The 13,817-nt window shown below is 37.6% G+C and overlaps 1 protein-coding gene across 22 annotated transcripts in view; it reads left to right on the plus strand.

The window, feature by feature from the left end:
• The window catches only part of SPAG16 (sperm associated antigen 16), a 1,126,038-nt gene that overhangs the window by 89,773 nt on the left and 1,022,448 nt on the right, over positions 1–13,817 (plus strand). For 21 of the 22 annotated variants that reach the window (NR_047659.2, NR_047660.2, XM_011511814.2 and 18 more), the window contains one exon: positions 774–883. Coding sequence is in view for 20 of the 22 variants with exons in the window: in XM_011511814.2 (XP_011510116.1) it covers positions 774–883 (110 nt within the window). In the remaining 2 variants the exon portion in view is untranslated. Of the gene's footprint in view, positions 1–773; positions 884–1,908; positions 1,960–13,817 lie in introns of those variants that run through there. The other variant, XM_006712746.4, reaches the window with a different exon arrangement.

Genomic DNA, 13,817 nt, shown 5'->3' on the forward strand with positions numbered 1-13,817 from the left:
GGATTTCTTAAGAGAGCCTTGTCATTGAAATCATCCAGACATTTCTTTGTTCATCATCTTTTCTCTATTATAAATCTGGTGTTATAATTTGTAACGTTTAGTTGTTTATTTGTGTTAGTGATTATAACCTTAGTTTTTTGCAATCAACTTACTGTTTAGAAATACAAGTGGAAATATGTGTACTTATATATGTGTATGTATTATATGTAGAAAAATGTGAGAGACTTTTTCTGTCAATTCCCCACTCTCAAATGATTCCATTAAGACTGCTCATTATGTCCATGAGAAGTAGGAGACCAATGTTACAACTATTTTGAATATTACCCTGTGTTTTTCCTTTTTGTCCTTAACATAGTGAAGCATAGACAATAATATTTTATTAATACAATATTCTTTTTATAATAAAAATATTTATTATCTAGTTTCATGTGGGAAGTTTTGTCATTTCTTGTCATTCTCTCCTCCACCATCTTTAACTCTGTTTATAAACACACAAAGCCTTGTGATAACAGGAATTTGGATATGTCATAACTGTGCTCTGTAACTGGCTCACCATGTATTTAATTAACCTTGTAGTAATGCATCTCTGCATTTTTGGGAACTGAATTTTGAGACCACACATAAAGCATTTGGTATGGTTTGGGTATCAATAATTTAATGAATTTTTTAAAAATACATGCATCATTGAGGTTTTGGTTTTCATATTTTTGGTTGCAATCATTTTATACCGATAAACAGTGCAAATATTAAGAATAAATTATATTATCTTGTAGTTGATCATAGTCGTGAAAAAGAAAATGCACCAGAAGGTCCTACTCAGAAAGGTCTTCGTGAAGCCAGGGAACAAAACAAATGTAAAACAAAGATGAAAGGCAATACAAAGGTATGATATTTGTTTTTGTTTGCATTAAGTCATACTTAACTCTCAGATCTTTAGATCCATTCACTCATATGGTATCATTATTTTACCGGAAAAGGAATTTAGAGGTTATATATTCCGGGCTGCTTGGTTTATACATGGACAGTGGAGGTATCCAAATGTTACTAGTAAGTAGTTAATTCAGGGACACAGGCTTATTAGTAGCAGAGACAGCTCAGTGGATCACTCTGCCACCTATCCCAACATAATCATGATCATGTCTGCTCACCTGCTAACTTTTCTGCTTGAAACTACCTCTGTCTAAAAGAAATCACTCCCAGGTCATATCTTGTTATATCTTTTCTCAAAATGTAACGTCAGACTTTACTTAGTCTCTTTAAAGGTAGAATGAAATAGCATTATGCTCCGTTTAACAATCTCTTTATATCTTGAGTACCTTCACTTTGTAATCAGACTGGTAGTTTAAATCTTTGCCAGTGATTAAAGAAAATGGTATTAAAAATGGTTGGTCAAAGAGATCAAAAATGAAGAAAATTACATAAAACCTGTGAAGAGTTTAGTTTATTGTTTTGAAAATTACATAAAAGTCTAGCTCAGGTAATGGATTTTCTTGTAAGGCAGTTGTTACCTTAGAGTTCTAAAATATCTGGCACTTATTTTAAAATAAAAATATTTACAATTATAATAGCTTCTTAGTAATTCTAGAAGAAGAATAGATTTGTATGAATTCAAATAATAGCATTTACTTAGGTAATGCCAATAATTTTTTTTCTCTCTAAAACATGCATTGGATTCTGGTATTGTATAAAATATTTATACAATGAATTTTTATAAATTTGTATAAATATAAAATATAAAATTTATAAATTTGTATAAATATAAAATATTTATACAATACCAGAATCCAATGTATAAAATATTTATACAATAAAATAAAAACTAATCACTTTTTTGTTATAATAAGCTTTTTATTATAATCTTGTGCTTTTTCAGATTAGTGTTTTGTTGTTTTTCTATCATAATTATAGATTATCGTATGTGAGGTAGACTCACATCAGATTTAAGGATTTTTGGAATGATGGAGGTGATTGTCATCAGAAACATTTTCATCTTCTAACGGTATAAGTATTGTCTTTCAGGTAGTAAGTCATACTTAGAAGTGATTTGTTGATTCATTCACTCAGTGCTTACTGCTTATAAGAGTTTAGATTAATAATGCAAGGTTGACTTTTTATGGGACAAAAAGATACTAAAATATAGGAAAAGTACATTGCATATTTATGCATAGTATATTATTTTATGGTGTTGCATTCTGATATTTAACGTAATACCTACAGCATGGTAGAAAACATAGGTCATATTAAAGGGCTAAAGTGTAAAATAAGGTGAATCCTTCTCACCTTCACTGAGTAATCATTTTTACTAGTATTTCTCTTAATTTTCTTGTTGTTATTATTATAACAAATGACTGAGTTCTGTTTCTATTTTTTTAATAATTCACTTCACATGATATCTATTGACTCCGCCGTAACAAAGAGGCATTTAGAGCACTTTACTGACTTGATTTGAATTATATTATTATGTATGTTGTCATAATTGATAACATTTACATTTGTTCTATAGTCTTAATTCTATTTTCTATGCTATGTCTGTAAATTAATACTAACATTTAATCCCATAAACAGCCTTTAAATGGATTATGTTTAAGTAAATGTAATTTATTGCAGACATTGCAAATTTAACTAGAACTGTAGAGGAGGAAGGAGAATACCTGAAGTGCATAGGACTGTATTTAAAGATTTCTCTTTTATAAACAGTCGCTCTCTTCTACTTCATTGGCTTACACTCAGCTGCCCCTGTTATGTATTCTCATATTTTCCTTCATAGATTGCTTTTTCTGTTTTCCTAGATTATCTCCTTGAGTAATTTTCAAAAAGGGCCAATGGAGATAAATGATCTAAGTTCATACATCTGAAATATTCTTGTTCTACCTTACACTGAGTTGATATTTTGCTGGAATTAGAGTTCTAGTTTTAAATTAATTTTTCACCAGAATTTTACAGGCATTGTTTTAATGTCTTAGAGGATAGCAATAATTGCTGTTGGTCTGATTCTTGTTATTTTGTTGGGAAGTAAAAAATACCATATACAATACAATGTACCAGTAAACTAGTATTTTGAACAACTAGAACAGTGAGGTGTAATCATAATAACAACTTTATTTATGTGACCTACTGACTCTTAAAGCTGCTCAGTGGAGGTAATTCAACCCTTACCCTAGGGTGATAATTCATTCAGGCTTCATGAAATTATTAGTCAAGTGTGTGTTTACTCTGGTTGCAAAACACAATCTCAAATCAGTAATTAAATATGTCCAGCTTTATGTAACACAAATGCTCCACATTTAACATGAAGTTAAATTTTCACCTAACCCTCAGCTGAGGACTTCTTTGGGCTAGACATTTGCAGTGTGGAAGGGGTTGTAATGGTGGTGGTGTGTGGCCGTTCGTAAATCTTTTCCTCTTACTTTTTCCCTCTTACTTTTTCCTCTTACTTTTTCCCTTACTTTTTCCCTAGTTTGCTAACTGGCAAGGTTGAAGGTGCAAGGAGGGAGAAATTAAAGACGAATGGAAGAGTTGTTACTGGACTTGAGATACCTTATGATAGCTTAGAGTTCTTTGAACTTGGCAAAATCAGAAAGCTTTTATCCTGATGAGCACTGTATTAGTCAGAGCTCTCCAGAGGGATAGAACTAATAGGATGTGTATATATATATATATATATATATTTTTTTTTTTTTTTCTTTAGAAGGATAGAACTAATAAGATATATATGGGGAGTTTATTAAGTATTAACTCACACGATCACAAGGTCCCACAATAGGCTGTCTGCAAACTAAGGAGCACGGAGAGCCAGTCCGAGTCCCAAAACTGAAGAACTTGGAGTCTGATGTTAGAGGGCAGGAAGCATCCAGCATGGAGAAAGATGTAGGCTGGGAGGCTAGGCCAGTCTGGTCTTTTCACATTTTTCTGCCTGCTTTATATCCTAGCTACACTAGGAGCTGATTAGATGTTGCCCACCCAGATTAAGGGTGGGTCTGTCTTTCCCAGCCCACTGACTCAAATGTTAATCTCCTTTGGCAACACCTTCACAGACACACCCAGGATCAATACTTTGCATCCTTCAATTCAGTCAAGTTGACAGTATTAACCATCACAAGTCCCCGCCTTGTCAACTTGAACCCATACATATCTGCTGAGATCATACATAATCTTCAAATAAAGACAATAATAAGGTCATAATTATGCCTAACATAAAACAACTATCCTTCGTACAACCAGAAATGCATCAGTCCCCAACTCAAATACTATTACATAAAGTTAACAATACTTAAATGTTGATGTGAAGTCAGTAAATCCTTATATCACATGATAAGGGAAAAAGGAAATAAAACGAAGGTATATTCTTAGTACAGTGTATACATGTACAACCATGGTTTTAACAAAAGAAGGAGGGAATACCCATGACAATTACAGTCCTCGTTTCTGCAGCTGGTCATGTGGTTGTAGCTGGTATTGATTACTACCTTGTTCTATCTATTCTGTAGTCCCTTTGCCTTCAGCAAGTACCTCAGCAGGTTGTGGATTTTTTCCTGGTGGAGTGACCCAAACCTTCATTCCTGAAGGGTCTGGGCCATATGCAGTCCTGCCCAGACTGTGATGTTGTAATTTCCCAATGACCTTAATCACAGGGCATGGCAATACTAAGAGACATCCTAGTGGATCTCCTGTAGTCATGCATACTCTTTGCTACCTCCATTGTGGAGTAGTAGACTGATTTCATCTTGATAGTCTGGGCCAATCACCCCAGCCAAGACTGTAACTCCCTTCTTAGCCTGTTGACTTAAAGGTAGGAGGAGCCCAAAGTGTCCAAGTGGCAATCTTAACTTTCAGTTTAATGGAATCATTGTTGTGTCTCTTGATGGCAGCGTTCCTCCCTCTGGAACTAAGACCTCTAGGCCAGCAGGATCAATGTTGTGGGAACAGGAAGCAAGAATTTTGCTGGTGGATCACTAGGGGTGATGGTGAGTGGTGCCACTTCCACTTCCACCCCTTGGTTCCTGGAACCATGAATCCTGGCTATGGGAGAAACAGTACCATATATTGAATGCTGATTCAGAGCATACACACCTTCTGGAGAACTTTGCCTCAGCCTAGTAAAGTATTGTCACCTAGTTCGTGTTGTAATTGTGACTTCAAAAGGCAATTCTACGGTTTTATCAATCCAGCTGCTTCAGGATGATGGGGAAACATGGTAAGACCAGTAGATTCCAGGAGCATGAGCCCCATGCTGCACTTCTTTAGCCATAAAGTGAGTGCTTTGGTCAGAGGCAATGCTGTGTGGAACAACATGATGGTGGATAAGGCATTCCGTGAGTCCACAGATGATGTCTTGGCAGAAGCATTGCTTTTAGGATAGGCAAACCCATATCCAGAGTAAGTGTCTATTCCAGTAAGGACAAACCTCTGCCCTTTCCATGATGGAAGAGGTCCAGTATAATCAATCTGCCATCAGGTAGCTGGCTGATCACCCCAAGGAATGGTGCCATATTGAGGGCTCAGTGTTGGTCTCTGCTGCTGGCAAATTGGGCACTCAGCAGTAGCCATAACCAGGTCAGCCATGGTCAGTGGAAGTCCATGTTCCTGGGCCCATGCGTAACCTCCATCCCTGCCACCATGGCCACTTTATTCATGGGCCCATTGGTGATGACAGGGGTGGCTGGGGAAAGAGGCTGAGTGGTGTCCACAGAACGGGGCATCCTTTCCACTTGATTATTAAAATCCTCCTCAGCTGAGGTCATCAGTTGGTGAGCACTCACACGGAATACAAATGTCTTCACAGTTTTTGACCACTCAGAGGTGTCCATCCACGTACCTCTTTCCTGAATTTCCTTGTCACCAATTTTCCAATCGTGCTTCTTTTAAGTCCCTGACCATCCAGCCAAACCATTGGCTGCAGCCGTAAGTCAGCATATAATCACACATCTGACCATTTCTCCTTCCATGCAAAGTGCACAACCAGTTGCACTGCTCTAAGTTCTGCCCACTGGGAAGATTTCCCTTCATCACTGTCTTTCAGGGATGTCCTAGAAAGGGGCTGTGGTGCTGTAGCTGTCAACTTTCGGATGGTGCCTGCATATTGTGCAGATCCATCTATGAATCAGGCCCTAGTCTTCTCTTCCTCTGTCACCTGATCATAGGTAACTCCCCATGATGCCATCAGTGCAAGCTGGGAGACAGAAGGCAGGGTGACAGGAATGGAGACCATGGACATTTGAGCCACTTCCTCATGTAACTTACTTGTGCCTTCGGGACCTGCTTGAGCCCGATCACACATACACCACTTTCATATGATGAAGGACTGCTGCTATGCATGACCCAGTTTATGGCTAGATGTGTCAGAAAGCATCCAGTTCACGACAGGCAGTTCAGGTTGCATGGTGACTTGATGACCCATAGTCAAACATTCAGTTTCCACGAAGCCCAGTAACAGGCCAAGAGCTGTCTCTCAAAAGGAGAGTAGTTATCTGCAGAAGATGGCAGGGCCTTGCTCCATAATCCAAGAGGCCTCCGCTGTGATTCACCTATGGAGGCAGCATTGGATCTGCTGGGTTATATGGCCCCAGTGGTAGAGCAGCTTGCACAGCAGCCTGGACCTGTTTCAGAGCGTTCTCCTGTTCTGGACCTCACTCAAAACTGGCAGCCCTTCGGGTCACTCGATAAATGGGCCAGAGTTACCTACCCCAATGAAGAATGTGGTTGCCTGCAAAATCAAAATAGGCCCACTAGGCATTGTGCCTCTTTCCTGGTTGTAAGATTTTACTAATTGACTAATATATCTATTTCAAGAATACAATCAGAAGCCAGGGAAACAATGAAGGAATGGGTCCATAAATCCACTGGGCTTACCGTAAAATAGACTTATACCACAACACTGTTGATCAGAAGGCTATGATAAGCCCCTAATTTAGCTGTTAGATGGTGTTTTGGGGTCTCTAGGAAAGGGCATTTATTCAGAGCCAATTTCTAATTATATCTGAAAGGTATGAAGCAAAAGAGTACTCCATGTAAATGACTGCTGTTCCTTTAGGGAAGGCTTGGAGGAAGACTTACAATCAGATTTCTGTAGTGAACCCAACATGATACAATGAACACATATTTTGTCCAGTGAAAATAAAAAAACACTGACCCTTCTAAAATGGTCCAACATAATAAGTATGCCAGTAGGTGGCTGGCAGGTTTTTCATGGTACGGTGCCATAACAACGGTTCCATGTTGGTTTGTGCTGTTGGTAAGCTGGACATTCAGCACTGGATGGTAGCTGAATAAACTTTGCTTAGGAGAAGCCTTTGTTAATGATTCCATACGTAGTCTTCATCTTTAACACAAGGCTACATGATCCTATTGAGCATACAGAGGGAGAGCCAAGGAAAATAGCCAGTATTCACAAGATAAGGCATGTGATCCACCCGATTATTGAAAACCTGTTTTGCAGTGGATTTTTTAAAATAAGTATACCCATGGGACACCAATATTTCCACACTTTTGCCTATTGTGAGAGATGTAGCCACTAACCATTTCCTTAGATCTTATCTCAGAATTTCCAACCTTATTCTTTTATAAACCCCTAACCAGTCAGCCAGACTGATAGCCACTGCCAATAAATAGGTATAGATGTATCCGCTGTACCATTTATGTTTTTAGGCAACATAGGTGATCAGATATACTGCCAAGATTTCTGTTCACCTGAAGGCTTTTCATTCATCACTGTCTTTCAGCGCTCCCATTGGAAGACTTGTAATCCAGTGACTGTCCACTTATAGCTGAATTTGGGTGGCACATTGTACAAACCTGTATGGAAATCAGGCTAGTTTTTTTTTTTTAATCCATTCTCTGATAGCTGGTCATGGTGAGTATCTCACAAAGCCGTAGGTATAGTTGAGGGACATGTGACATTGAAACAAGAGTGGAAGTTTGGAAGTTTACCTGCTCATGCAACTTACTTGTGCTTTTCTGATGTTCTCTAGCACAATTTAAATTATAATTCTTCCTTTTTTAAGATGAATTGCTTTTACATGTCCAGACTCATGTCTTTGAGGACCTCCTGGTTTATGATGAGCAATTCAGTTTACTTAGTTGCTTGGTGTTATAAGTCCTCAGTATCTGTCAGAGCTCATGAACATAGTAGGAGCTAACCCTTAATAGAGAATATGTAAAAGTAGTTATCAACAAGGTGAACATGCCTTTTCTCCAGAAGTCTGGAGGTCAGTACTGTGGCCCTCTGTTGGGGCTTGTTATAGGCTTCCTATAGTATCTTCATTTTCTACAGATAGTTTGAGCACCATTGGGTCTGCTGGGCCATAAGGCCCAAGGAGAATTGTCTTATATCCTGGACATGTTGTAAACTTTTTGGGGTCCAAACATCATTTATACTATGTTCTTTATTCAGCATGGAGGACAAAAGATACAGTAACTTTGCCTTTTATTTAGAAGCATTATCTTACCATGTTCCAGGCTTCAGAATTTCTTTGGTGTTTGTTTCTTCTCTGGCACAAGCATATTGCTAAGACATCTAGGGTACTTGCCACTTCCTGCTCATCAGATCCATTTAGGGGGATTTTAGCAATATAGTGGAATATAAAGATGGTCAAGGTTACTTTAGTTTGACAGAGAATAGGGGAGTTTATATGGCCCCGAGGCAAAGGAGTAGAAAGTTTTCTGCTGCCTTTGTCATGTAAAGGCAATTTGGATTAACTACCATCACAGATGGGAGGAGAGAATAAAACATTCACCAAATCAGTAGCCTCATAACAAGTAGTAGAGGGTATTTTTATCTGCTTCAGTAAAGATAACACATATGGCACAGCCCATATGTTCCAGATCTTTACATGATTCTCTCAATCTTGTACCCCATTATTTTCTGATTGAATTCTTGAGCAATGTTTGGACAGTAAGATTCTACTCCTGTCTCTCTTTTGTTGGATCTGGCAACCTCCTTTTATAAAAGTAAGTGACATATTGGATAATATATGTATAAACACTTTATACATTATAAAAGCATTATGTAAATACAAAGATATTATTGTTGCTGATATTATTCCTATTATTATAGAAATATATCCCCCAACATGATGCTAAGATTGCAGAGTATTTAGTATCTTGCTGACCCCTCTTGACTTATCTTCTAGCTCTACTTGTTCCTGTTCTTCTCATAATGAAGTGCAAAAATAAGCTAAGGTTCTTATGGGTTGTCTTGGATGTCTAAATAAGTTGTTCATTTGTTTTGAATGTTCTAGGTCTTAATCAGTGTATATTAAGATTATATGAATCCTCTTGAATGATGATATACACTCCAATAGAGTGTGTGCCACTTGAGTGTATACCATATGGTGGATACACTCAGAGGCAGCAGTGGGTTCCTATTACAAGTTTGTAGGACCTTATTCTCCTGGCATTCCAAACTGTGTCTTCTCTTGAGTACATCTGTAGATAGTCAAAACATATAAGACATGAACTACTGTCCTGTTTGCACCAACTAGCTCCTTTTGCCTATAATCATAACACACAAAGCTTATTATTAGTAAACATCATGTTTATCCATTCTGATTAACATAATACAATAAATAGTGATGTTCTATAATATTTCTAGAGAGTACAGTTCCCTTCAGACTATTTTATGACTAGAGTGGAATGTTAACCTTGGCAAGAACATAAACATGTACTGTTGTCTGCCCAACTGAATGCACATTGCTTCTAATCTCACTTTATGAGAAGACACATTTGCCGGATCAATGACTACACACGATGTGCCTGAGTACATGTTAATCTGCTGTTGCAAAGATACCATATCAGGTAGAACAGTTGCAATTTAGGCTGTTACTTGGTTGAGTTTGCAGTAGTCTCCTGTCATCCTCCAGGATCTTTGTTTATTATAGAAACTAGACTAGGGAATTATATGGAAATATGATGAGAACATCCACATCTACATCCTTTGTTTAAATCTGTGCCATTTTCCACCACCCTCCCCAATATGCAGTATTATTTTTTATGAACTTGACAGGGAAAGGAGCAGTTTTCAAGTCTCCTACTTGGCATTTCCCACCATAGTATCATATATCCCACAGGTCAAGAATTAATGTGGAAGTTCTGCAAAATACCAAGTATGTTCTTTCAACTTGTTTGGAATCTGTTAAATGACCATCAGATGGGTTCATGGATTCCATCTTACTGTGAGCCAGACCTGGGCAAGCTATATTTATTACTTAGTCCCTATATGCCTCAGCCTCAAATCTAAGATGGTGGAGGGTGAGAGTTATAAAACTATGAGTCCCTGAGTATCAACGCCATGCTAGACCCTGTGTCAACAGTTTCACAATGTCTGGGTCTTTCTTTTTCTGTAGTGTATTGTTACCTAAGCCTCTGGGGAAGGAATGGAGGAATCATTGTATGTACTTGCTATGGTGTAGGAGGATCCTTTTTCATAGGGACTGAACTTCTTTCGTCAGGAAGTTCTGTGTGTGAAAACTGGCTAAGATCTGGAAACCAGGCAAGAGATAGTGACTTTTTACAAGGTTGCTGCTCTCAGTATCCTGATCATCCATCCTGTTTCTTCTGGTCGTACAGATTGAACATTACCACTGTTGGCTTCCCATCTTTCAGCCCTTTAAAGATTCTATGTTCTATTGACTATCTTCCTAGCGTTCTATGGTTCAGGATATCCTGATAGCCCTTACCACCTTGCTGTTCTTTTCCATAATTGTGCCCATCTTGCTTTTGACATTTACGTGCTTCTGGCTGGCCTCTGCTTTCTCAGGAGTCTATAATCTAAATTGCTTTCAGGGAGTGTAGTTCTCTAATAACATACTCTCTACTATCATCTTAGAGAACCACAACTGAGCTTCTCAATGATGTTGCTGCTCCTCTCACCTTACTGCTTTCCTAGTGGACGTATTCTCTGGTCATCCGGTGGACATGGTTATCTCATGGGATTTTTGGCCTTTTATGGTGTATCCACTCTCACAGGCTCACTTCTCTGAGTATTTAGATCCTCCTTTGTTGTGGAATGTAGCATTGGCTTTTCTAGTTCACTTAGTTTGGTAATCACTTTTTCCCCTAAGCTTCAAAGAGCCATCCTAGCTTCACATAAATACCAGTTTCCTTTCTAGGGTGTTAAGTTCTGTGTTATAGAAGAGTACTCTCATATTGATAAACTCTGCCTTGTCCAACTTTATATTCTACCTCTCTTACCTCAATGACCTCAGGACCCAATTCTTCATGTACTGTCGTGGAACCCATAGGTACATGTTGGCTAGTTCCTGCAGTTCCTTGGAAGTAGTTCTTTTCATCTTTATAACAGAGTCATTACTTACCTGAATAGGTTTTATTTTTATTTAAATGAATTTTGGTCTGTTGGCCAGTAAGGAGGGTGGGGAATATATTGTAAGAATGGCATGTATTGTCTCATAAGACAGAAGACTCTGAATTGCCCTTGGTGAAGAGAGGTGTGCTCGTCTCTAAAAGGGAGAAGCAGGCCATTTTTGCAGGGCCAGAGAGTTCAGGGAAATATGAAGATTTAAGATTTTTAAGTACGTTGTCTCAGATTTCTTCATCTCTGTCCACACACACACACACACACACACACGTATGACTTCTTGTAACTCAGAATAAATTTATTTTTCCATAAAATTCATGTACTAAAATACTGTTGGTTTTCCTAAAATGACTTTCCTATAATATGTTTTCAAATTTCACTTCTTTGCTGATATCTTTAAATTTTTATATTATTATACTATAACTTTATAACAATATTTGGAGTCATCTACAGCAATTTATGTTTTGAGATAAAAATAACATGACAATTCACAAATAACTATCATATTTCACAAACATTAATTTCTTCATCTTTGAAATGTCTTCTAATAGTATCTACATTTTACTAGTTTATTCAGTTCAGAATTGTGGCCTTGTCTTAAATCGTATTCTTCCCAATGTCTTCCAAACTCCCATTGATGCCTTTTTTCCATATTATTTAATAAGTTGTGAATTTCTCCTAGGAGTGGGGCATGGGTTCAGATCCTACTGGAAAGGGCCTAAGAGTCTTGTCTTGAAATTTCATTTGCAAAACAAACTTAGATTAAATATATATATATTTTGGTTGGATTTAGGAGGGCATCTAGCAGAGATTTTGAGAGGTCTCCTGAAACTATCCCTAACCTCCTATTGCAGTTTCCCCATTTTCCTTTAATTCTCACTCCCATCCTTCTAAATCTGGTCTCCATGGGCTACATTCACAACCTTGCAGGCTGTCTTTCAATAGTTCATTCTATGTTTCATGGATTGATAACTTTCCCTAAAACATGCCTCTATAAGCTCGTCTAATCTTCCTTAGACAATTGTATATCTTTACTTCTCAAGCCAGTTGGGTATCTAGCTTGTTGATATTCCATGATAATTCTTATATATCTTTTATAACATTATAAATCACATTTTACTTATATATTTTACAAAGTTGGTTACATTTTAAAGTCAATTCTTATGGTTTAAACTATTTTCTCTTGAATTAGGGGAACAATTTTTGTGAACATTAGGGAAGCCATTTTCTTCTGAAAGTTTTTTAGCCAATCAGTGGATTACTAAAATAGTCAGTGGATTAGTCTTTGTAAAGATAACTAAATATTACAACATAATTTCATTTTACCTGTGGAATATATTTTATCCTAAAGGAAATAAGAGCCATTATGCAATTAATTGGATGGTTTTTGCAATCTCATAAGTCAAAATTAAGAGAAAAAAGTTACTGCTTTATTGAGACTAAGAATGATGATTATACATGTGAAACTTTCAGTGTGTCAACATATTATTTTAAGGAACAGCAGAATGGAAGAGTGCCATACAGATTTGAATAGTTTTAAAAGGTAATATTTATACATAGAATTTCCTTTTTTGTTGTAGAAGGGAAAAAAAGGATCAAATGGTATCCACTGTAGTCCAAATTCATTACTTTAATGACTCCTTGTAGAGTTAAATTGGAGCTAGATTATAATATTTGTAATATATTAAAAATCTACCTTTCACCTTGTATTTTGACCTATATATTCAATGACAGTGCAGGAAAGGTGAAAAAGCACTATTATTAAAAGTATTTTAAGAAAATAGAAAGGAAATTAGAAAAGATAAGGGGCTGCTAACTTGTTTCTTCCATCCTTTTTTTGCCCAAATTCTTAGTCTTTTTTGGGTTGGAATGAAATGCATGCTCTTTTTTTTTTTTTTTTTTTTTTTTTTTTTGAGACAGAGTCTCGCTCTGTCGCCCAGGCTGGAGTGCAGTGTGGAGTGCAGTGGCGGGATCTCGGCTCACTGCAAGCTCCGCCTCCCGGGTTCACGCCATTCTCCTGCCTCAGCCTCCCAAGTAGCTGGGACTACAGGCGCCCGCCACCACGCCCGGCTAATTTTTTGTATTTTTAGTAGAGACGGGGTTTCACCATTTTGGCCGGGATGGTCTCGATCTCCTGACCTCGTGATCCGCCCGCCTCGGCCTCCCAAAGTGCTGGGATTACAGGCGTGAGCCACCGCGCCCGGCCATGCATGCTCTTTTAAAAGAAAATTCTTCCCTAGTGAAAAAATATTTAGATTGTTTTGTTTCTATCTGTAAACATATTTATATCCCTAATACCCCTTCTGGGTTTCTGCTGGAAATGGTGTTTTAAAATATTATAAAGATCTAGTAAGAAAACATAGAAGGGAGGATTATGGGAAGGTGGCAGAGTGGGAAGCACCAGGGATGCCTCCTCATCTAGATAACAATGGCACTAGCAAAATCTGTCTGATATAATGATTTGGAAAGTCTAGAGTCTGTTGAAGTCTTTCAATGTCCACAGGAA

Source organism: Homo sapiens, chromosome 2 (assembly GCF_000001405.40).
Source record: "Homo sapiens chromosome 2, GRCh38.p14 Primary Assembly".
Classification (NCBI taxonomy): Eukaryota; Metazoa; Chordata; class Mammalia; order Primates; family Hominidae; genus Homo; species Homo sapiens.